Source organism: Homo sapiens, chromosome 15 (genome assembly GCF_000001405.40).
Source record: "Homo sapiens chromosome 15, GRCh38.p14 Primary Assembly".
In the NCBI taxonomy this organism is placed as follows: domain Eukaryota; kingdom Metazoa; phylum Chordata; class Mammalia; order Primates; family Hominidae; genus Homo; species Homo sapiens.
In genome coordinates this window covers 65,359,277-65,380,652 of record NC_000015.10, presented here as the reverse complement: position 1 = coordinate 65,380,652, position 21,376 = coordinate 65,359,277, and the positions used below count along the sequence as shown (strand labels likewise).

General features: G+C 52.3%; 1 protein-coding gene across 3 annotated transcripts in view, besides 3 other annotated features; it reads left to right on the top strand.

Annotated features, from left to right (window-relative positions):
• The first annotated feature begins 2,650 nt into the window (after positions 1 to 2,650).
• The window catches only part of IGDCC3 (immunoglobulin superfamily DCC subclass member 3), a 50,876-nt gene continuing 32,150 nt past the window's right edge, over positions 2,651 to 21,376 (top strand). For all 3 annotated transcript variants that reach the window (XM_011522241.3, NM_004884.4, XM_047433374.1), the window contains exons 1-2: positions 2,651 to 2,967; positions 5,251 to 5,556. In XM_011522241.3, the coding sequence (XP_011520543.3) occupies positions 2,865 to 2,967; positions 5,251 to 5,556 (409 nt within the window). In that variant the 5' untranslated portion in view covers positions 2,651 to 2,864. The remainder of the gene's footprint in view (positions 2,968 to 5,250; positions 5,557 to 21,376) is intronic.
• Positions 11,547 to 12,410: an enhancer, noted in NCBI's record as "H3K27ac-H3K4me1 hESC enhancer chr15:65660581-65661444 (GRCh37/hg19 assembly coordinates)". NCBI's record gives its function as "activates a minimal SCP1, AML or CMV promoter by ChIP-STARR-seq in primed H9 embryonic stem cells {active_cell/tissue: H9 hESC(primed)}" and the evidence as "EXISTENCE:reporter gene assay evidence [ECO:0000049][PMID:30033119]".
• Positions 12,411 to 13,274: an enhancer, noted in NCBI's record as "H3K27ac-H3K4me1 hESC enhancer chr15:65659717-65660580 (GRCh37/hg19 assembly coordinates)". NCBI's record gives its function as "activates a minimal SCP1, AML or CMV promoter by ChIP-STARR-seq in primed H9 embryonic stem cells {active_cell/tissue: H9 hESC(primed)}" and the evidence as "EXISTENCE:reporter gene assay evidence [ECO:0000049][PMID:30033119]".
• Positions 16,731 to 17,596: an enhancer, noted in NCBI's record as "H3K27ac-H3K4me1 hESC enhancer chr15:65655395-65656260 (GRCh37/hg19 assembly coordinates)". NCBI's record gives its function as "activates a minimal SCP1, AML or CMV promoter by ChIP-STARR-seq in naive H9 embryonic stem cells {active_cell/tissue: H9 hESC(naive)}" and the evidence as "EXISTENCE:reporter gene assay evidence [ECO:0000049][PMID:30033119]".

The following is a 21,376-nucleotide window of genomic DNA, read 5'->3' as shown; positions in this document are numbered from 1 at the left end:
TCCTTTGATGGCACTTCCTTAGACTCTCTGGGGATCTCTTTCCATCTGGGCACACATTTCTCTGAACTTTTTTGGGTGCAGGAAAGAGGGAACAACTCCAGAGATTTGGGCTCCACAACTATTCTCCTGTATAACTCTGGTCACCAAAATTACTCATGGCCACACAATCACACACACGTGCACTGTGTGTACAAGCTCAGAGACCCGCACATGCATACTTTGCCTTCACAAACACCCTTGTGTCTGTCCGTTAATGCAAATGTGCACACAGTCTCACACACAAAACTCCACACTCACACCCCACACACATCTTGGCATCACAGTTGGCAGCTGCTGTCTGCTAAGATCTTTACAGAGCCCGGAACATGCTTTCTATTGGAGGGAATCAAGAGCTAGAGGCTGCTTTGCTCAGGACCACCCCCAAAGTGGTGGGCCAGACCCAGAGTTAATTGACAGATCAGACAGAGAGATACTGCACATTTTGCACTCGGCAGAATAGCCATTATTTGCATATCACTCTCAGACCAAGGGTTGTGATAAAGAAGAATTAAACACTTGTCAAAATGAATTTAAAATGACAGCAATTCAAGAGACCAATTTGACCTCTTCAGAGTCCAGGACAAGCCAAGAAGGGGTTGTTGAGAATTCAAGCCCTGCAGGAGGGAGTTCCAGGATTTTAGGCCCAGGGAGGGCCCTTCCCCTCCCTTTCCTAAGGCCAGTAGACCACCACTCCCACCCTTTCTCACAATGAAATCCAATAGGGCTTTGGCACATTGGAGTCCTCCACCTAGAATTTTTCCATTGCTTCCCGCTGTTCACATGCCTCATGTCCTGCTTCTCAGGCTCATCTTCCAGTAGCTGCCCTAGAGTGAACAGTCCTGAGCTATGCCAACCTCATCATTAGTAAACCTGTCCATCTACAGGCACTCTGATTTCTGGAGGCCTGTACTTCCTTACTTATCCGTATCAAAGTTAGTTTTTTGTTTGTTTGTTTGTTTCGAGACGGAGTCTTGCTCTGTCGCCCAGGCTGGAGTGCAATGGTGCAATCTCAGCTCACTGCAACGTTTGCCTCCCGGGTTCAAGCTATTTTCCTGCCTCAGCCTCCCGAGTAGCTGGGATTACAGGCGCCTGCCACCACGCCCGGCTAATTTTTTTGTATTTTTAGTAGAGATGGTGTTTCATCACATTGGTCAGGCTGGTCTCGAACTCCTGACATCAGGTAATCCACCCGCCTCAGCTTCCCAAAGTGCTGGGATTACAGGCGTGAGCCACCGTTAGTTTCGTACATGGTCCCAAAGTTCCAGAGTTGGTATCAAAAGAAAGACTTAGTTTTTCCTCTGCCATCCCAGTCCAGTGCCAAAGGAGCAAATAGCTACATTAGGCCAACTTTTATTATTTATTTATTTATTGAGACAGGGTCTGTGTTGCCCAGGCTGGAATACAGTGGGACTCCAGGCATGCACCGCCATGCTTGGCTAATGTTTGTATTTTTTGTAGAGACAGGTTTTCACCATGTTGCCCAGGCTGGTTTTGAACTCCTGGGTTCAAGTGATCTGCCCACCTCGGCCTCCCAAAGTGCTGGGATTACAGGTGTGAGCCACTAAGCCTAGCCTGCCAGCTTTAATTCTCTAGCTCCTAGAACTTAGTAGCTGCTCAATAATTTTGATGGACTAGTCCATCATGCTGGACTCAACAGAAGACCATTTAATAGAGAGTGGCTGAGATTCAAGATCTCTGAGGGCTAGTATGGGTATGTCTCTGCTAAAAGACATGCTTATCTTCTGTAACATTCTCACGTGGGACCTCTGTTGTCTCCTTATATGTTCTCTGACATGAACGATTGAGGGCCTTCTTTGTGGCACAGAAACGTTACTGGGAATTTTAACTTTCTATGTGCTTTTCCAGTTACCAGGTCATTTGTCAGGACCTCTGCGGTTTAAAGGTCTCTAGGGATGAACAGGAGAGATAAGATTATTTTCATCTTTCAGATGAGCTCAGTGAGAGTGACTGGGCTAGGCAGCAGGCAGAACCCAGGTCGGAAGCCAGGCCCCTTTAGAGCTCTCATTGTCCTGCTGCTGGGTCTGCTCTCTCCAGGCAATCCTCCCCAGCGGAGCGCCAGGACTCCTCGGTCCAGAGAAGCCAAGCTTGCAGCTACAGGATCTATCCTTTGAGTGGAAGGACCAGAAATCCATGGAAAACTGAATCTTTGACAACTTTACGCAGCTTTTTAGAGAATTATCTCTAAAATATGGACTTGGAGGAGGGCGCAGCAGAAAGAGTGGGTCAGAGCAAATCCCGCAGCTGTGTGTCTTTCCGCAGCCCGGACCCACTCCCCAGTCCGCTGGTGTCCACTTCCTCAGCCCCCCAGGTCCCCGGCTGGCCCGCGGGGAGGGGATACCCGGCTGCAGCCCGGGACGGCGCCGGCCGCTCCAGCCACAGTTCAAAGCGCAGGGGGCGCGTCCGCCGCGCAGCCGGGAATGTCCGGCCGCTTAAAGCGCTCGCCGGCTCTTTTGTTCCCCAGACCGGGCCTCCGGGGAGAGGGGGCTGGGGGAGGGGACCGGGAGCAGAGAGGAGGGGGGCGGCGGGCTGGGGAGGAGGGCGGGGCGGCCGCGAGCGGTGCGAGTGTGGAGCGCGCACCCCGGGCGAGGCTGACAGATCGCCCGGGTGGGTGCAAGATGGCGCAAGCGGCGCTCCCCCTGCGCCCCCCGCGCTGCTGAGCAGGCATGCGGCCCCAGTCCCCCACCGCCTGGGCTCGGCCCCGGCCGGAGCCCCAGCCCCGGCCCCGGCGCCGGCCCCGCGGGACGCTGTGAGCCGCGAGAGGCCCGGGAGCCGCGCGTCGCCGAGCCGAGCTGACCGAGAGCCCCATGGCTGTGCAGCGCGCCGCGTCTCCGCGCCGCCCGCCCGCCCCGCTCTGGCCCCGGCTCCTGCTGCCGCTGCTGTTGCTGCTGCTGCCCGCGCCGAGCGAGGGTGAGTGAAAGCGCCCCGGACCGGGCGGTTGCGGACGGAGCCAGGGGAAGGGCGAGCAGGGAGGGAGCGGGCGCGAGGGGCGGACCCGGGGAGAGCGGCGCGGACCTGAGGGCGGACCCCGCGCGGGGGGGACCCTGCGGATCCGGACGGGGAGAGGGTACCAAGGCCGGACTGCTGGGGGCCCTAGGGGCGTGTTGAGGACGGAACCCCCCGGAGGAAGACTGGGGCAGGACCCGGAGCCCAGACTGAGGAGCAAGGAGTGCAGCGAAGCGGGAGCAAGCGGGGCGGGCTGGCGTGGAGACCGAGGGAAACGAGCCAGGGGAGACCGCAAGGCTAAGCGCTGACCGAGGCGGACGAGCTGGGGTGCTGGGTGCCCGGCCGTGGACATAGCCCGAGGCAGCCAAGACAGGGGACAGCAGCCTGGGGAGCGGAGACCGGGACTCTGACGGCTGCACTGGGCGGAGATGGCACGACCTGCATTTGGAGCTGGTACTGGGCTGAGGAGTGCGCGGGAGAGACAGGAGAAGACGAGGGAGATTCCTGGAGGGCGGCGCGTGGCTAGGGAGCGACCCGGGACAGAGCCCGTGAGCCAAGAAGGAGAGGAGAAGCCACCGAAAGCGAGAGCGAGCGAGCCGCGGGGATGCTCACGTGCCCCTGCCCTTCCCCGAAGTGTGCACACGCGGAGACCTTGCCCTGGCTCTCGCGGTCCGCCGGTTCTGCTGCCTGGAGCTCGGCTCTGCTGCCTGGAGCTCGGTCACCACCACTCTGTTCCCTTTAGTGGCTGCAATGGTCCCATCTCCCGGGAGGAGAGTGCAAATCTAGTCCCTTAACCCTCCCACCTCAAGTTCCCCACAGACACTCATCTGGGCTATTCTCTCTCCACTCCTCTCCCAAGAAGTAGAAGCTCGCGTCCGCATCAAGGAAAAACTTTATTCCCGACAGCTATACCAGGGTTGGATTCGGGGCTAAGACGGGTGAACTCACGACATGGGGAGGATGCGCAGGGGTTTGAATAAGTGCGATCCTAAAAAGTCTTAAAACATTACATCTTCCTGGGCCGGGGACGGGGGGAGGGGGGCGCGGGGGGCGCTGGGCGGGGAATGCCTATAACCCCAACGCCCCTCCTTTCTCCCCACCCATTTCCCCATCTCCCTCAGCCAGGGAGGGCCCTAGTCTGCTGGGGAGGGGCCAGCTCCAGGATCGCTAGTTATCTGGAAATGTGAGGAGGGGTCTGTGACTGCCATTTCAGACCAGGTGGGTTCATTCCTCCTCGAGTGGAGTTGTAACTGGTCTGGTAAGTTGTTTGCTGGAGAAGTTGGTGACTTGGCATCATGCCTGGGATTGGAGTGCTTGTCCCTCCAGCCGGGCTTCTGATTCTCTGATTGGCCTTAACCCCATCTATTCTTTGGCCTCCTTCTTTTCCTGCTCATTTCTCTTCTGCAGGAGCAGAGAGGTTGGCTGGAAGTAAAGGTTCTAGGAGCACCCTCTTCCTTGGTTTTGGGAAACCATAGTTGGTGTTTGCTACTCTTCATCTCTCCCTATGACAAAGGCAAAAGGACCAACACCCAGAGTGCCAGAGGAGAGGGGCAATGGGGCCACAACCTAGTCTGTACCCCGGGTACTGGGACCACACACCCTGCTCCCTGCCAGGCATTGGACCAGGCATCTGATGGGTTTTGGCCAGCAAAAAGAAGCATGATTTATTACTATCTCCCTCTGTATTTCTTTAGAACTTTAAATTTTTCATAGTGCCTTTGAGTCTGTTAATCATGTCATACAACCCTATGACCCAAGCTCCATTGTTCTTCTTTGATCTAAACAGATGAGAAATGGGAATCCAGGACATGTTGAATACTTTACCTAAGGTCACACCCTGAAGGTCTGTGAGGCTTCAGTGCTTATCCAGGGTGACCATCGAAGTAGCAGCATCTGTATTGGAGTCAGTCTTGCTTTTGGGTCTCAGTTTTGCAACTACTGACTGTGAGACCCTGGGCAAGTCACTTGACATCTCTGGGCTTCAGTTTTCTTACCTGTGAAAGAGGAAATAGTACAAATAATATCTATCTCTGAGATGGTCTGATGATTAAGTAAAGTACCGCCTTGGATGGCACTTTGTAATGCATAAAGTTCTATATATAATAGGAATTCCTATTAACATTACAGAAACATGGGGATGGGGTGCATAGACCCAAGGAACTTGGAACCATGTGGGTGGAGTTCTTCCTGGATGTTCATTTCATACTAACACCCCTATTTCCTTCCATCTCCCCTTCCCCAATGCAGGTCTTGGCCACTCTGCTGAACTGGCATTTGCTGTGGAGCCAAGTGATGATGTTGCCGTCCCCGGGCAGCCTATAGTGCTGGACTGCAGGGTGGAGGGGACCCCTCCAGTGCGAATCACCTGGAGGAAGAATGGGGTAGAGCTGCCAGAGAGTACCCACTCCACCTTGCTGGCCAATGGGTCCTTGATGATCCGTCACTTCAGGCTGGAGCCGGGAGGCAGCCCTTCGGATGAAGGTGACTATGAGTGTGTGGCCCAGAACCGCTTTGGGCTGGTGGTCAGCCGGAAGGCTCGCATCCAAGCTGCAAGTAAGTGGATATCCCTTGTTTTCCCTTTGTGTAAGCCAGCTGGTGATCCAGGGTCAGCCTAGGGCATGAGGGCAGCGGGAGCAGTCCCATCTTATGCAGCCTTCTGGAGGACTAATTTCTCAGCATGGGTCGGTTTTGAGGTGCCTGGCAGTGATTCGTGGCGGTGGAATTATATCAGATGCTTGTTTAACTGACTGGAATGTGAATTGACAAGAATGTAGCCAAACACCCATAGGGGAGTCGGGGAGAAAGCTTTACCCAGTTCTTGGGTCAGCATGTCTTAGTTTCCATATGCCTTTCATACTTTGAGCATCCCGGTGCACTGAGTTTGATTCTTGTGTATAAAGATAAATCATTCCCATACTTTAAGGGTGATTAAAGAAATTCTTGAAGGGTAATTTCGGCTACATGCAATTTTTAATTATGTGCTTAAACTAATGTAAACCTTTGGGTAGGATAAGACCTCTATATACCAGTAATGAAATTCTGGAGCTTGTTAATAGTTTGCATTAAAAAAATATGGTAGGATAATTTCAGAATTATCTCAATGATGACATCACTCCTACTCACCTTCATGCTAATGTGTGTTTTTGAATGGGAGAGAAAAGGCGAGGCAAGATGTTTCAGCTCTAGAATTGTGCTTTGCTTGTGCTGCTTGATCGTCAATTGTGGTGATGAAATGATGACTGTGGTTTAACTGCCCTGTCCTGCAAAAATTATGTTATTGTTGAATCTGTGCACACTGGGAGTGTGTTGCATAAACCAAAATTCTCCATGTATCCCAGGGAGGTGGCGAGCTGTGGGCAGTGGGGTCATGGCTGAAAAAGGGCAGAAGTTTTGGCAAGTGGAAATTGTTCTCCATCTCATATCTCTGGACCTCTGGAAGGGGGGGTGTCCCTTTAAAGAGGCTGCTTTGACTATTGTTGGTAACAATTCTAGCTAACATTTTTTTTCTTTTTTTGAGACAGAGTCTTGTTCTGTCACCCAGGCTGGAGTGCAGTGGCACGATCTCGACTGACTGCAACTTCTATCTCCCGGGTTCAAGCAATTCTTGTGCCTCAGCTTCCCCAGTAGCTGGGATTACAGGTGCGCACAATTACGCCCGGCTAATTTTTGAATTTTTTGGTAAAGATGGGGTTTCACCATGTTTGCCGGGCTGGTCTCGAACTCTTGGCCTCAAGTGATCCTCCCGCCTCAGCCTCCCAAAGTGCTGGGATTACAGGCGTGAGCTCCTGCACCCAGGTCTAGCTAACACTTTTTAAGTACTTGCTGCATGCTGGGCACCCTGTCCAAGTGCTTTACATGAATTACTTCATTTTGTCATCACAACAGCCCTGGGAGAATGGAAGATAGGTCATTATCATCCCCCTTTTACAGAAGAGAAAACTGAGCCTTAGGGGGACTCAATGGCATTCTGGTAGCAGAAGAGCCAGGACTGTCATCTGGGCAGCCTGAACCCACACCCTCCCACTTAGCTCCCGTGGCACGCCGCCTCTTTCCTGTCTGATCGCTGACAAGTTTCTTCCTGGCTCTGAGGGCATTTGCACAGTTGCTCTGAACGGCTGGTGAGTGATGAATCAGTTTGAGGCAGGAGCCCTCTCGCTGGGTTTAAGATGCCCCTTTGTTCTGAGGAAGGCAGATCCAGGCCCCCATATGGAGTTCGCTGGGAGGCAGCCCTGGACTTTGAGACCAAATCACTTCTGGCTCAGCCACCCTCATCTCTCGGCCCTCCCGGCAGTGCAGGGGAAGGCTGGTGCAGCCTCTGAGCAGATGGCTGGGTGTGAGGAAGGGAAGCGTGGACAGAGGGTGGGGACCCCGGTAAGATTTGCAGATCAGAGAGATGAGACTCCTCAGGGAGATGCTCCCCATACCCTCCCTGGCCTGTGTCAATGCTGAGATATAGATGGCCCCTGCTGAGGCCTTTGCATCACCAGCCTAGAATCCTGGGAGATAAATCCCCAGGGGCTTATATATATATAGCTAATTGTAAATGTGCTTTTTTTTATAAATGGTAATACCTTCAAGATGTTTGGTTTCCTTAAACTCCTAACAATATAGTACAAGAAATTAAGCTGTGGGTGGGGTCAGCTTGGTTAATCCTTTGGGGTCCTGGAGACAGCTGGGGGGTTTGCCTCCAAGCTCTGGCAGTCTGACATGGCCCTCTCTCCCCTGCAAGGCTGTGGTCCCATGGGAGAATGCTCAGATGCCAAGCAACGGTGCGGCTGGATCCGCTTTTCTCACTTCACAGGCTGATGTCCCTAGAAACCTCCAAAGCTGATTAGCTGCCTGGGTTTCCTCCTTCGTAATAACTCCCTGCCCGTGTGCCTGCCGGCACTGCAGATGTTGTGTGACACAGGAGGGTGCCTTTCTGAAAAGGTGTGAGGAGGCCTCTGGAGGCCCCTGCTTCTTCTGCCTGCTCCTCAGGGGCCCGTGGGGAGGGGGCATGCTAAGCACCCCTCGCAGACTCACAGTTCACCCAGCAGACTAACCCAGGGAGGCAGATGGGTGTTCAGGTCTATGTCGGTGGGTCTGCTGGGCATCTGAGCTCCGGGCCAGAGGCGGATGGTTGGAAATGCACGCCCTTCCATCAGGGGGTTCAGATGCTGTCCTCAAAAGACAGCCTGACCAAGGTGGCTACACCGCGGGCTGATTCCTTGGGGCTTCAGTTTCAAGCGTTTCCCTTTTAGAATGGAATAGCTCAGGCTCCTAAGAGTATTCATGCTCAGGAGCCCTAGACTCTGCATTGCAGCTCCACGTGCTTGTAGTTTGGGGGCTGAAAATTGAGACTTGTTAAGGACGAGACCCTGGACAAGTTAATGCTCCCTCATCCCAGTTTCCTTGCCTGTGAAACGTGCATGTGATCCTGCCTGGTAGGGCGGCTGTGAGGACCAGCACACCCCACACTTTGCCTGGCACGCAGGAAGCACTGAGTAACGGGAGCCGGCACCGCACTCCTCATTGAAAGGTGGTTTCACTGACATGGCCTTTAAATGTAATCTTGGCTGCCCATGGAGGTTAATCTCCAGCAAAAGCAAACTGCCTGATTCTGCTCCCGGCCCCTGCTTTCTCCCTCGCTGGGATTCATTTAGGGAGTTCTCCAGGGAAAGCTATCAGGGAGTGGAATTATTGGAGCCAGAGTGCATCTTGTTTTGTTTTAACCCCTTCCTGGGAGGACTGAGGGTTCTCCCAAGCCTCAGGGTGTGGACTGAAGCTGGCCTGGCCTGTGAGACCCTCCGCTATCCCTCTAAAGGGGCTGACCCAGGGGAATGTGTGCATTGACTCATACCTGAGGCCTGTGTGCCTGAATGACTCCAAAAAGGATGGACTAGCTACAGGGAGGAGGATGGGGGACCTACCCCGAGTCCCTGCCACCCTCAATCCCTGCCCCTCTTTCCTAGCCTTAATTCTTGATCTCAGGTCTCTTGGGGAACTGGGGTGATCAGCTCTATGATGTAGTGCAGGACTTCCCAAACCTTACTGAGCCTGTGAATCACCTGGGAATCTTGATAACATTGAGATTTTGAATTCATAATTCTAGGCCAAGGACTGACAAGAGCCCAGGTAATGCCAATACAGCTGGTCCACAGGCTGTACTCTGAGTAGCAAGGGGCTAGCAGAGACCACACCCATGTCATAACCTCCGCTGTGGGGATTTTCAGGCAGCATAGTGAAGCCTTTGGAACAAGGGCTTCAGGGCCAGACTTCCATGGGTCTGAACCCCAGCTCTGCCACTCAATGATCAGTGCCCTTGGCAGGAGTTACTTAGCCCTCTTGAGAGTCTGTACCCTCATCTGAAAAAATGTGCACCATTCCATCCATCTGTCAGGGCTATTGGAGGAGTAAATGAGGTGATGGGTCTAAAGCACCTGGCACAGGGCTTGGCATGTAGGAAATGCTAAGTATTATTGTTGGTGCTCAGTATTGCCCACTAATTTAGGATGAGGTCCCAGGTGTCTCAATCCTGGCTGGGTTCTCCAAGAGCCAGGATTGCCCTCACTCCCAGCCTGGGGCCATCTTGCCTGGGCAGGCCCAACAGTGGTTTAAATGTGGGTTGTGGTGGCAAACAGACCTGGGCTTGGTGGGCTTGGGCCTTGGCCCCACCACCTGCTAGCTGTGAGATCTTGGCCAAGTCACTTCACCTCTCTGAGCCTTGGCTTCTTCATCTTTAAAATGGGGGAATGTGATGGCTCATGCCTGTAAATCCCAGCACTTTGAGAGGCTGAGGCAGGAGGATCGCTTGAAGTCAGGAGTTTGAGAGCAACCTGGGCAACAGAGCAAGACCCTGTCTCTACTAAATAAATAAATAAATAACATGGGGGAGGAATAATATAAAATAATAAAAAATACCAAGGAGAAATATTGTGAAGATTACCTATGATAATGTGCAGGAAGAGCTTAGCACAGGGCACAAAGGCAGCATTCCTTAACTATTATTAAGGTACTAATTTTATATATATATATATATATATATATATACACATACATATATATACACATACATATATATACATACATATATATACATACATATATATATACACACACACATATATATATAAATATATATATATATATATATATTTTTTTTTTGAGACCAAGTCTCGCTCTATCACCCAGTGCAGTGGTGCAATCTCAGCTCACTGCAACATCTGCCTCCCGGGTTCAAGCAATTCTCCTTCTTCAACCTCCTGAGTAGCTGGGATTACAGGTTCCTGCCACCATGCCAGGCTAATTTTTATATTTTTAGTAGAGACAGGGTTTCATCATGTTGGCCAGGCTGGTCTCTAACTCCTGACCTCAAGTGATCCACACACTTCCTCCGAAAGTGCTGGGATTACAGGTGTGAGCCACCGTGTCCAGCCAGGTACTAATAATATTAACTATTATCATTTTGAGGAGCTAACAGAGGTGAAAACATGTTAAATTATGAGCTCCTTTAGTTGTGGTATCATTCCCGGAAAGGTCCCTGGTGACTCCAGACTCCTAGAAAGAGGCAGTGGGACATGGGGAGAGGAGAGAAAGTCCAGTTCTAGTCCCCTGCTCTCTCCGCCTCAATAAGTCACCTAGCCTCTCAGGCCCTCAGTTCCTACTTCTGAAGTCTGAATCATTTTAACTTGTCAGAGGGAAGGCAGTTTCACCAGCTATTCTAGAGTCCCTTTTCAGCAAAAAGGCTCATGGTGTGTGGCTCTGGGGGCAGGGTCTGGGTGGAGGTCTGTGGAACCAGGTTGGAGTGGGGGTTAGGAGAACTGCGGGCAGGAGCTGCTGGGGAGTACAGCCTGGTATTTAGGGTGCCCTGTGTAGGGAGGTGGGTCATGGAGGGAGGTAGTTCCTGGCACAGTGGCTGGTAACCCTGGAGGCCTCTATCACCTGGAGGTTAGTTGCTCAGGCCTGGTGTGTGGAATGCAAGTTCTTCTCTCCTTCTTGAAGGAATGAAGTTCTTCTCCCGCTTAACTGAGGGAGGCCTGAGGAAGTCTCCCCCGCAGCTCCTCAAACACACACATCTGCCTGTCCATTAGGACAGGAAGCTGCTGTCCCCAGCGATGAGTGAGTGCCCATACCTAGGCCTACCCTCATGTCAGGGCCTCACCTGTACCCAGCCTCAGCTCATAGGTAGGTGCAAATGGATGGGGTTCAGACACTTTAACCTGCCAGTCAGCACTGCACAAACTGACCCTTTCTGACACCGCTGAGAAGTTGTGTGGTAGAAAAGCCCTTGTCTGGACACCAGGGATCCTGTGTGGCTGTGGACAAGTTGCCCACCCTCTCTGGGCCTTGCTTTTCTGATTATAAGGTGAGGGGGTTGGACTGAGGCTCACCTCTGCTCTGGGGTACGAAGGCTTCCTTCCATCCATCTTCAAGACGTGCCTGCCTCCCCTGGGCCTCCTCCAAGTCTATTTCTGCCTGGTTCTTCCCATACCTGATCCCTCCCCAAAGACCATCCTGCTTACAGTCATATCTTCCTCCCCTTCCTAAGGCAGGGAGCATTTGTGGTCTGTGGCATTCACGCTAAACCCTCTTGGTGATGGCTGCTTGCATTGTTAAGTAACTGTTTTGTGGCTGGATATTCCATCTGTCTCCTCAACTAGATTTTAAGCTCCTAAAGGGCTTCTTTCTTTTGTATTTCTCATGTCCCCTGCCTGTGGAGCCTGGTAAAAACTAAATGAACATGTGGCCTTCTGGGACAAAGCTGTCTCTCTGTCTCTCCTCTGTTTCTCTCTCTGCTTCTCTTTTGCTCCCCACCCCACCCCCCTTGTAATTGATAGCACAGCTCAAAGGAACAGAAGCTTGTGAACGGGGAGGATGGGCAGGGGAATATAATGCACGCGGGGCAGGATCCTGGGGTGCTGCTGCCGCGTGTTTATCTCTAGAGGAACTGAGATTCTCTCTTCCTCACCAGATGGGGTGTGAATCAGAGACTAAATTGCCTGGTACCCCCTCCATGCAGGGGTCTTGGGTCTCCTGCCTTGGGCTTTACTCTCTAGCTAGACAAGGCCTATGTCCCCAGGCTCATTGGCCCCCAACTGTAGGGGGAGGGCCCCCTTACTCTGTGTGCAGGGCCTCCACTCACCCCCACCCGCAGAACTTGAGTGTGGAAGTCGAACGCTTCTGGTTCCCACACCTTGGCTCCACTGTCACAGGCAGCCAGCTGGCCCCTTAAACACAATGTGCAAATCTTCTCTGTTCCTGTTCCTGGCATTGTCAGCGGCCAGGCGCCTTGGCTGGGAATGTGGGCCGGTGAATAGGAGAGGCATTTGCAGCCTGCAAATGAAACAGGCCCCCAGCCCCCCTTAACCCTCTGTCCCCTCCCCACCCCCAGGGAGAAAGGACTTTTTCACTCCTGGCCTTCTTGTATTGCCTTTCCCTCTCCCCTCTTCTCTCCAGAGTGCCTGCAGGCTGGTGTGTGTGTGTGTGTGTGTGTGTGTGTGTGTGTGTGTGAGTGAAAGAGAGAGAGTTTTCCACAGTAGCTTGAAGGCTGTTCTCCATAGCTTTCAATAAACGTAGAATGCAACAGAAGAGTACCCAGGATGAAAAACCAAACAGCTCACTGCTGTCTTTGTTTAAACTGGACTGAGTGATTCCACCAAAAATGTCTGCCTTGTGTAACTAACCTATGACACCTTTATTTTCTCTGGCCATAGCCTGGTTGCAAACAAGGAATGTAGAGACCAGTAGTGAGTGAGTGTGTGTGTGTTGCCAGGTGGGTCTGAGCATACAGGTGTGTGCCTGAAGGATGTCGAGGGGCCTAGCGTTGGGGTCCATCTCTCCTCAAAGGGCTCTCCTGTGGAATCCCTCTTCCCTTGAGCAGTAGCCAGGCTAGAAAGCTGGAGCGGACAGACCCAGCCTAGGGCAAGAGGAGGTGATAGATAATTTTATTAGGTCCTGTAAGGGACTGACCCTTACCCAACCAAGCTGAAGTGAGAGAGGAGTGGGGCAAGCCCTGGGACACTGGGTGGAGAGTGGCCAGCGGGTGGCGGGAGGCCTTACATTTGGGGTGTTTGGGTGTGGCCGTAGCCCCTCCAGGAGTCTGGGCCATAGTTTTCCTTTTTATTTTATTTTATTTTATTATTATTATACTTTTAAGTTTTAGGGTACATGTGCACAATGTGCAGGTTAGTTACATATGTATACATGTGTCATGCTGGTGTGCTGCACCCATTAACTCGTCATTTAGCATTAGGTATATCTCCTAAAGCTATCCCTCCCCCCTCTCCCCATTCCTTTTTCTTTTCTTTTTTTTTTTTTTTTTTTTGAGACAAAGTCTCACTCTGTCTCCCAGGCTGGAGTGCAGTGGGGTGATCTTGGCTCACTGCAACCTCCGCCTCCTGGGGTTCAAGTGATTCTCCTGCCTCAGCCTCTCTAATAGCTGAGATTACAGGCATGCACCACCACACCTGGCTAATTTTTTTGTATTTTTAGTAGAGACGGGGTTTCACCATGTTGGCCAGGCTGATCTGAAACGTCTATCCTCAAGCGATCCACCTACCTCGGCCTCCCAAAGTGCTGGGATTACAGGCGTGAGCCACCGCACCCGGCCTGGGCCATAGTTTTCTTATTCAATGGGTGGCTGCCCAAAATCTAGCTGCACTCTGGCAAGCCTGCTGGCCTGCACTGCACCATCCCCACAAAAGAACCTCTCCCTGATTTCTGAGCTTGCTCTCCCTGCCCCCAACTTTGTTCACCCTCTTTTAAGAAATGCCTCTGTGGCTGCCCTCAGATGTAAGGAGAGCAGAAGAGAGGGCTTTCTGTGGGCACCTGGACTCACGATAGATGTTGAGACCCAGTGAAGGTGGGAAGCTGGGGGCTGAGCAGAGAGGCCTGAAGAGTGGCAAGCCGGGGGAGCTGCTGGCAGACCCCCAGACTGCAGGGAGATGCAGGGGCCGGGGTGGGCTTAATGCAGGCAAGCCGGTGGGGGGCCAGGACTGGCTCACCTGACTCAGGCAGGAAGGAAATGTGATGCAAAGGGCTGGTGCCCTAGGGGCTCCACCCGCCCTTCTCTCTCTCTTCTCTGGGTCTTGATGTCCATGCTCCTTGGTCTTTGACACTCCCCACCCCCTGCTGCCCCCTCTGCCTTCCTGTGAGGCCACATTTCATATATTGGTCTTTCATATCCCTCAGTCCTAGTTTCTCCTGCCTTGTCCTCCCAAGCTTCTTCCTTTCTCCAGCTCCTCCTCCCTCCTTCTCTTTCTTTATTGTTCTATCCTTCTTCCTGCCTCTTTCTTTTTCTTTAGAGATAGGATCTCACTCTGCTGCCCAGGCTGGAGTGCAGTGGAGTGATCTTGGCCTTGAAATCCTGGGCTCAAGAGATCCTCCAACCTCAGCCTCCTGAGTAGCTGGGACTACAGGCATGTGTCACCTCATCCAGCTAGTTTTTTTTTTTTTTTTTTTTTTGAGACAATGTCTGTCTCTTTTGCCCAGGCTGGAGTGCAGTGGCTCAATCTCGGCTCACTGCAACCTCCACCTCCCGGGTTCAAATGAGTCTCCTGCCTCAGCCTCCCGAGTAGCTGGGACTACAGGCGCCTGCCACCACGCCCAGCCAATTTTTGTATTTTTAGTGGATACTGGGTTTCACCATGTTGGTCAGGCTGGTCTCGAACTCCTGACCTCAAGTGGTCCACCCGTCTCAGCCTCCCAAAGTGCTGGGATTACAGGCATGAGCCACTGCACCCGGCCAAATTTTTAAAATTTTTTGTAGAGATGAGGGTCTCACTATGTTGCCAAGGCTGGTCCAAATTCCTGGCCTCAAGCCATCCTCCCACCTTGGCCTCCCAAAGTGCTGGGATTACAGGTGTGAACCACTGTGCCCGGCCTGCCTCTTTCTTCAGTTTTGTGAGAGTTCCTGTGTTTACCATCTTCTGCCTTGTCTAGAGTGGGATTTCTGTTTCAGAAGCAGAAGTAGGTGAGCTCGGGCCTCTGCAGAGACTAAGGAGAGAGACTGGGAAGATAAGGTTCAAAGAGGGCAACAAAGGATGGGGTCCATAGCCCCCCAGCAAGTCAGGGGCTCTCTGGGGGCAGACCTTTCCTGAAAGGAATCTGAGAACCCTGGGCCCAACCCTGGTTGGGGCCTGTCTCTGAGCCTGGACACTGACACTGACACTGACCACAGTGGGTGGTGGGGGCAGCCCTGGGCTGCTCTCTGGAATGCTGGTGTTAGGTTGCAGTGCAGATGCAGGCAGTGATAATGGGCAGGAACTGGACTTTCTGGTCTGGCTGCTGCCCCCAAGGCCATTGGAATGTGAGGGTGGGGGTACTATCAAGAGGCCACAGGGTCCTGGGGTGGGAAGATGGAGACCAGACCACCTGAATGGAGGAGGGGACAGACCACCGTGAGAGAGACACAAGTTCTAGCCCTTTCATTGAGTCGCAGGCTGCAGCAATAGAATCCTGAAATTCCCAACCCCCTTAGGTCCTTAGGGGTCTTCCCGGTCTCCTGGTAGGATTAGAGCTTCGGGAAAAACCTTGGTGCTCATCTAGCCCAGCTTTCTCATTTTACAGACTTGGAAACCGAAGCCCCAGGTGAGTGACCTGCCCAAGGACATGGCTGGTCCTCCAGTCTGGGCAGGTAAGGGAGTCTCTGGTTTATCAGGCTTCTGAACCCTGGCCTTCCCCAGTGCCTCACTCTTCACTGCCCTCTGGTTCAGAAAGGAGGAGTCTTATATGGTCCTCCCCTAGGAAACACTGGCGTGCATGTTCTATTTTTCTTTTTCTTTTCTTTTTTGAGACAGGGTCTCACTCTGTCACCCAGGCTGGAGTTCAGTGGTGCGATCTTGGCTCAGGGCAGCCTCAACTTCCTGGGCTCAAGCAGTCTTCCCATCTCAGCCTCCCAAAAAGCTGGGACTACAAGCACACAATACCACGCCGGGCTAATTTTTGTATTTTGGTAGAGATTAGGTTCCACCACGTTTTTCAGGCTGGCCTCAAACTCCTCAAGCAATCCTCCCACCTCACCCTCCCAAAGTGCTGGGATTACAGGTGTGAGCCACTGCCCCGGCCCCTCTGTTTTTCTTTCGTGCTGCTCTGGTTTATCTGTGGGTGTGGGCTTGTTAAGCCTTGGATGTGGGCTCCTGACCTCCATGGCAGATTGCAGAGGGTCTCTGAGTTTCCAAAGCACCCTGGAGGCTGAGCTCAGCAGGTGTGAGGGCTACCTATGTGCTGGTTCTTGTAGAGAACTAGTTAGTAACAGTAAATGTGGTCAGAGTAATATGGGGCTGCACTGTTCTAGGCCCTTTGTGTGCTAATTTATTTAATTCCCACAATTCCATTAATAGGAATTACTAGCCCTGTTTTACAGATGAGTAAACGAAATCCCAGAATGATTAATTAAATTGGCCGAGGGTACACAGTAAGTGGGGAAGCTGGGATTTCAACCCAGTTCTGCCTGACCCAAAAAATTCACTGGCCTGAATGTCTCTAGCAGGGGCTCACACCCCTGGAGAACCTATCAGTATTTATGCCTCAGAAATAAAAGCAGATACCTGGAGGCATGTAATGTGAGAGTAGGGGAGTGTAGAGAACAGAGGACAGCTTAGAACCCTGGCCAAGGTGGGAGCCACTTCTGGGTGGGCCAGGCAGGATTACATACTCCATGACCCAGCTGCTGCTGGGACATCCCAGTTACAGGAGGCTCTGTGTAGACAAGTCTTGCTCTACCTGTGAGGCGGGCAAGAGCTGGCTGGGAATGGGTTCCTGAGTGAAGAGGAAGCTGGGAGGTGGCTGGGGCTGCTGGAGGTAGAGGTGGGAGTTGCTTCTTCCTGAGGAGGAAAGACAAATTCCCCCCTCCTCTTTGCTCCCTTTCCCTTTCTTGTTTCCGCATAATGATGCTGATTGCTCCACATCTGTCATAATTACTCTTTGTTTGAAAATTCAGAACAAATCACAGGAGAGGAACTGGAATGGCTTGAGAAGGCTCCTTCTCCCCAGGGGTCCTGGCAGGAGGCGGGTGGCGGGGGTGGGCAGCAGGGAGAAGCCATAATCATCCTGGAGGAGCTGAGACAGCTGATTGTCCTTGTCCTGTCCCCTTGCCTGGGCAATAGCCACAGCCCCCAGGGAAGGTGGCCTACAGCCTTGTGGAATTACACGCCCACGGGGCCGACTCTGGGGCTGGGCAAGCATTGGGTCTCTGGAGTGACAGCCAAGAATAGGGGACCACTGCTTCCAGGGAGCACCAAACCACACCCTCTTGGGGGTCCAGCAGGCGGCCCTGGATGCTCAGTGCTACACACTCGCTCCCCAGCCTGACTTCTGGTGAGGGTTCTGGTTCCCATCCCCATCCTGAAGGCCCTTGGTTTTGGGGGCTCATCATTCCCGGAATATGAGCCCAGGTTTGTGACCCTGTCTGCCATGAGCATCCTTTTATGTTTCCCTCCCAACCTAACCCCTTTCCACCTGTGGGCTTTTGTGGGGCGAAATCAAAGACAACCTAGAATTTACCCCCAAACCAGCTGGGGGTGGTGGCTCACGCCTGTAATCCCAGCACTTTGGGAGGCTGAGGCGGGCAGATCACCTGAGGTCAGGAGTTCCAGACCAGACCAGCCAACATGGTGAAACCCCATCTCTACTAAAAATACAAAAATTAGCCGGGTGTGGTGGCTTGGCAAGCACCTGTAATCCCAGCTACTCGGGAGGCTGAGACAGGAGAATCGCTGGAACCCGGGAGGCGGAGGCTGCAGTGAGCTGAGATGGGGCCACTGCACTCCAGCCTGGGTGACAGAGCGAGACTCTGTCTAAAAAAAAAAAAAAAAAAAAAAAAAAATCCCCAAACCTCGCTGGTAATAAAACCCCATGTATTCTCACCCCGACAGGACCGTTGGTGGGTCTGACACCTCATGTTGCTGGACCCAGTGCAAGATGCAGACAGTCTTGCACTGACGACCGGCTCTGGGTTCAAGCTCCCTCCCTGAACACTGCTGAGCCTCAGTTTGTCTTTGTGGAAAATGGGAGGGGGCACGGCCCTGTCATCAGTCATTCTGAAGGGGAGAGGATGAGTAAGGCCCAGGCATTTCTGGAGTGTGGAGTTCTGTGCACCCCCCCACCCACCCTCACCCCTTGCCAGTGGGGGCACCTTTTGTTCAGGCTTCGTGTGAGCAGGTCAGAGAAGCCAGGGGAGTCCTGGAGACAGGAGGTGCCTGGCTTGGAGGGGATACCTCCTCTGGCCCCACCATTATAGACTGAAAGTCATAGGAGGAGCTTGGACTTGACCCTGACACCATGATGCCTACCTGTGCACCCTCCCTGGCTCCCACTTCCAGGAGAAGCTGCTTTTAATATGTAAAATTTCAACTCACCTTTGTGTGACTTTGGGCCCATCTGCTTACCCTACTGGGTGGGCCTCTAGTTTCCTCCTAGGTGGAATGTGGTGTGGGGAGACCAGATTAAAACATTCCTAAAATCCCTTCCCAATTGTAAAGTTCTCGGACACTACCCCATTTTCATCCTGAACACGGCTCTCCAATTCCTCCTCTGCCTCCCTCCAGGCCCCCCAGCTCCCTCTGTACCACTTCTTTTTTTTTTTTAATGTCAGGATGAAAGTTTTGAGAATAGCGCTCTTGTCATTCTCCCCCTTTTGCTAACCTCACTCTGTCACCGCCCTCCTGGCTCCTGCCCGCGCACGTGTCCAAAGCAGCCCAGGCTGCGAAGTTTCAGGATGCGGTCGCAGATCCCTGGTCGCAGAACGTCTGGCTCTGCCCTGGGCGGGGCGCGATGGGCAGAGTGCGGCGGCCGCGGAAGCAGCCCTGCAGCAGGCTCCGAAAATGATGCCTCGTCCTCGAGGCAGGAGGAGCGGCGCCCCTACCCCAGCACGGCGGTGGGATCCTGTGCAATTAGCGCCGCGCTGCATGGTTGCTCGGCTGTCAAGTCATCGAACTGTGTGCCCGAGTGTGTCTGTGGATGTGAATGAGTGTGCGAGTGTGCGTGTGTCCTCGCTTCCCGGGCTCCCAGCATCCAGGACGCGGGGCCTTTCACTACTCTTCTAGGCTGCTGTGGTCAGCGTGGGAGGGGATATTTTCATCTGGAAACTGGGGAACTCGCCCCTATCAACTGGGAGCCTGGAATGGGTCTGAGAGGGGGAACAATGGAGAGCTGGAGTTGGGGGGCTTGAGGGGTAGGCCAGGGATTTCTTTTCTTTTCCATTTCTTTTCTTTTTTTTTTTTCGACAGGGTCTTGCTCTGTCATCCTGGTTGATCCTGGTTGGAGTGCAGCAGCACGATCGCGGCTTGTTGCAGCCTCAACCTCTGGGGCCCAAACAATCCTCCCACCTCAGCCTCCCAAGTACCTGGGACTACAGGCCTGCACCACCACACCCAGCTAATGTTTTTTTATTATTATTATTATTTTTAGTAGAAACTAGACCCTACTATGTTGCCCAGGCTGGTCTTGAACTCCTGGGCTCAGGTAATCCCCCGACTCGGCCAAACAAAGTACTGGGATTACAGGCTTGAGCCACTGTGCCGGTAGGCCAGAGATTTCTGACAAGGAGCTAGAGCTAGACAAAAGTTTATGGGCAAATCTTGAAATGGGCCAGGTCGGCTAGGCACTGTGGCTCATGGCCTGTAATCTCAGCACTTTGGGAGACTGAGGCAGGTGTATCATTTGAGTCAGGAGTTCAAGACCAGCCTGGCCAACATAGTGAAACCCCATTTCTACTAAAAATACACAAAATTAGCCAGGCATGGTGGTGTGTGCCTGTAATCCCAGCTACTCGGGAGGCTGAGACAGGAGAATCACTTGAGCCTTGGAGGCAGAGGTTGCAGTGAGCTGAGATTGCACCACTGTACTCCAGCCTGGGTGACAGAGCAAGACTCTGTCTCAGAAAAAAAGAAAAGAAAGAAAGGGCCCAGATGCTCTTTCCAGCATGCTGATTGGTCAAATGGGATTTGGGCTCTAGCTTCAGAGCCAGAGCTGAATAGGACCTTAGAGAATTGAAACCCAGTATTTGGCTTGCAACAAACACTTCTCAGATCTTTTTCTGCTATCTTCAGATTTGGTTTCTTTTTCCCTCCCCCAACTTGGGTTATTTTTGTTTTGCCTCTTATATCCCAGCTTATATGGAGTGTCCTCCTCTTTCTGCAACAATTCCCTTCATCCTAATTTTCTGAGGTCTCTTAAAATTGTATTCCAATTCTCCTGTACCTTAGAGAAGGCCTGTCTAATTTAGTCCCAGTTGCAGATTAGATTAGAATATTCTTGACTCCATTATCTCAGATCATCCATAATGATATTACATAGAAAGATCCTCAGCCTTGAGGCTGTTTGATATTCGTGCCCTCCTCTGTTTCTGATTTTTGCTTCTCAAGTCTGTCATTTTCCCATCAAACCATAACAAAATCAGGATCATTACAGGCAGGCTGGTATGATGTTAATAAGATCAAGGCTTTCCTGAAATAAAGTGATATTGCTTTTATCACATCAGTTTGAAAAGGATCCATTGGGCTGTATGTCCAGCTTTGCTTTTTGCGGGGTGGAGGGAATCAGAAGACAGGGTTCATGCTGGAATAGCAAGTATATCTCTTATCCCTCCCACTTGTCTGCAAACATTGTGGGGAAAGGCTAGCTCCTCTGCACCCTCAGGGCTTGGCCTAGAGTTGGTATCTGATGAGGGTGAGAGAATGGGGAGCTGTGGGTATTATATGGGAGGATAGGAACACCTCCTACCTGCTGTGGGTCACTCGCCCCCAATAACTCAGCAGCTGGGATTGGGGGAGGGCAGATGAAGCTGAATCAGATATTACTCCTGAAAGGCCTATAGGAGCATTTTACCTAAGCCTTTCTCAGCAGGCTTCTGAGTCCCTGCTGTCAGGAGCTGAGAGTGACCATGTCTGACTGCTCTTGGCTCAAAGATGAAAAGGTCTCATCCATTTCTCTGCATCTAACTATACCCTAAATCCCCTATTTCAGTCTCTTCTGGTATGAAAGGGCACCCGCATATCCCTATTCTATTCTCTTCCCTGAAACACCCTTCTTCCAAGGTCTGACCATTGGCCACTTGGGAGAGGATGGAGAAAAGGCTAAGTCACAGGTGCCACTACTAAGTACTGAGTGGGAAGGGCTTGGCCTGGTGAGTTCAAATCTCAGTCTTCCATCCCAGGAGAGGTGGCTAGTGGTACTCAGTCATCTCAGGATGGGACACCCTCCCAGGAAAGCTGGAGAAACTTGTAGGATTCCAGACCACCAGCCTTACCCTCAGAAGAGCTCACAGGCCAGGCTCCATGCTAAGAAGCATGCCTCTTCCCTGCAGTGTCCTGTGCATCCCCCATGGAAGGCCTATCCCTGCACAGACATGCCTGCCTTCCTGTTATAACCATAATGACAACAAAGCATTCTGTGA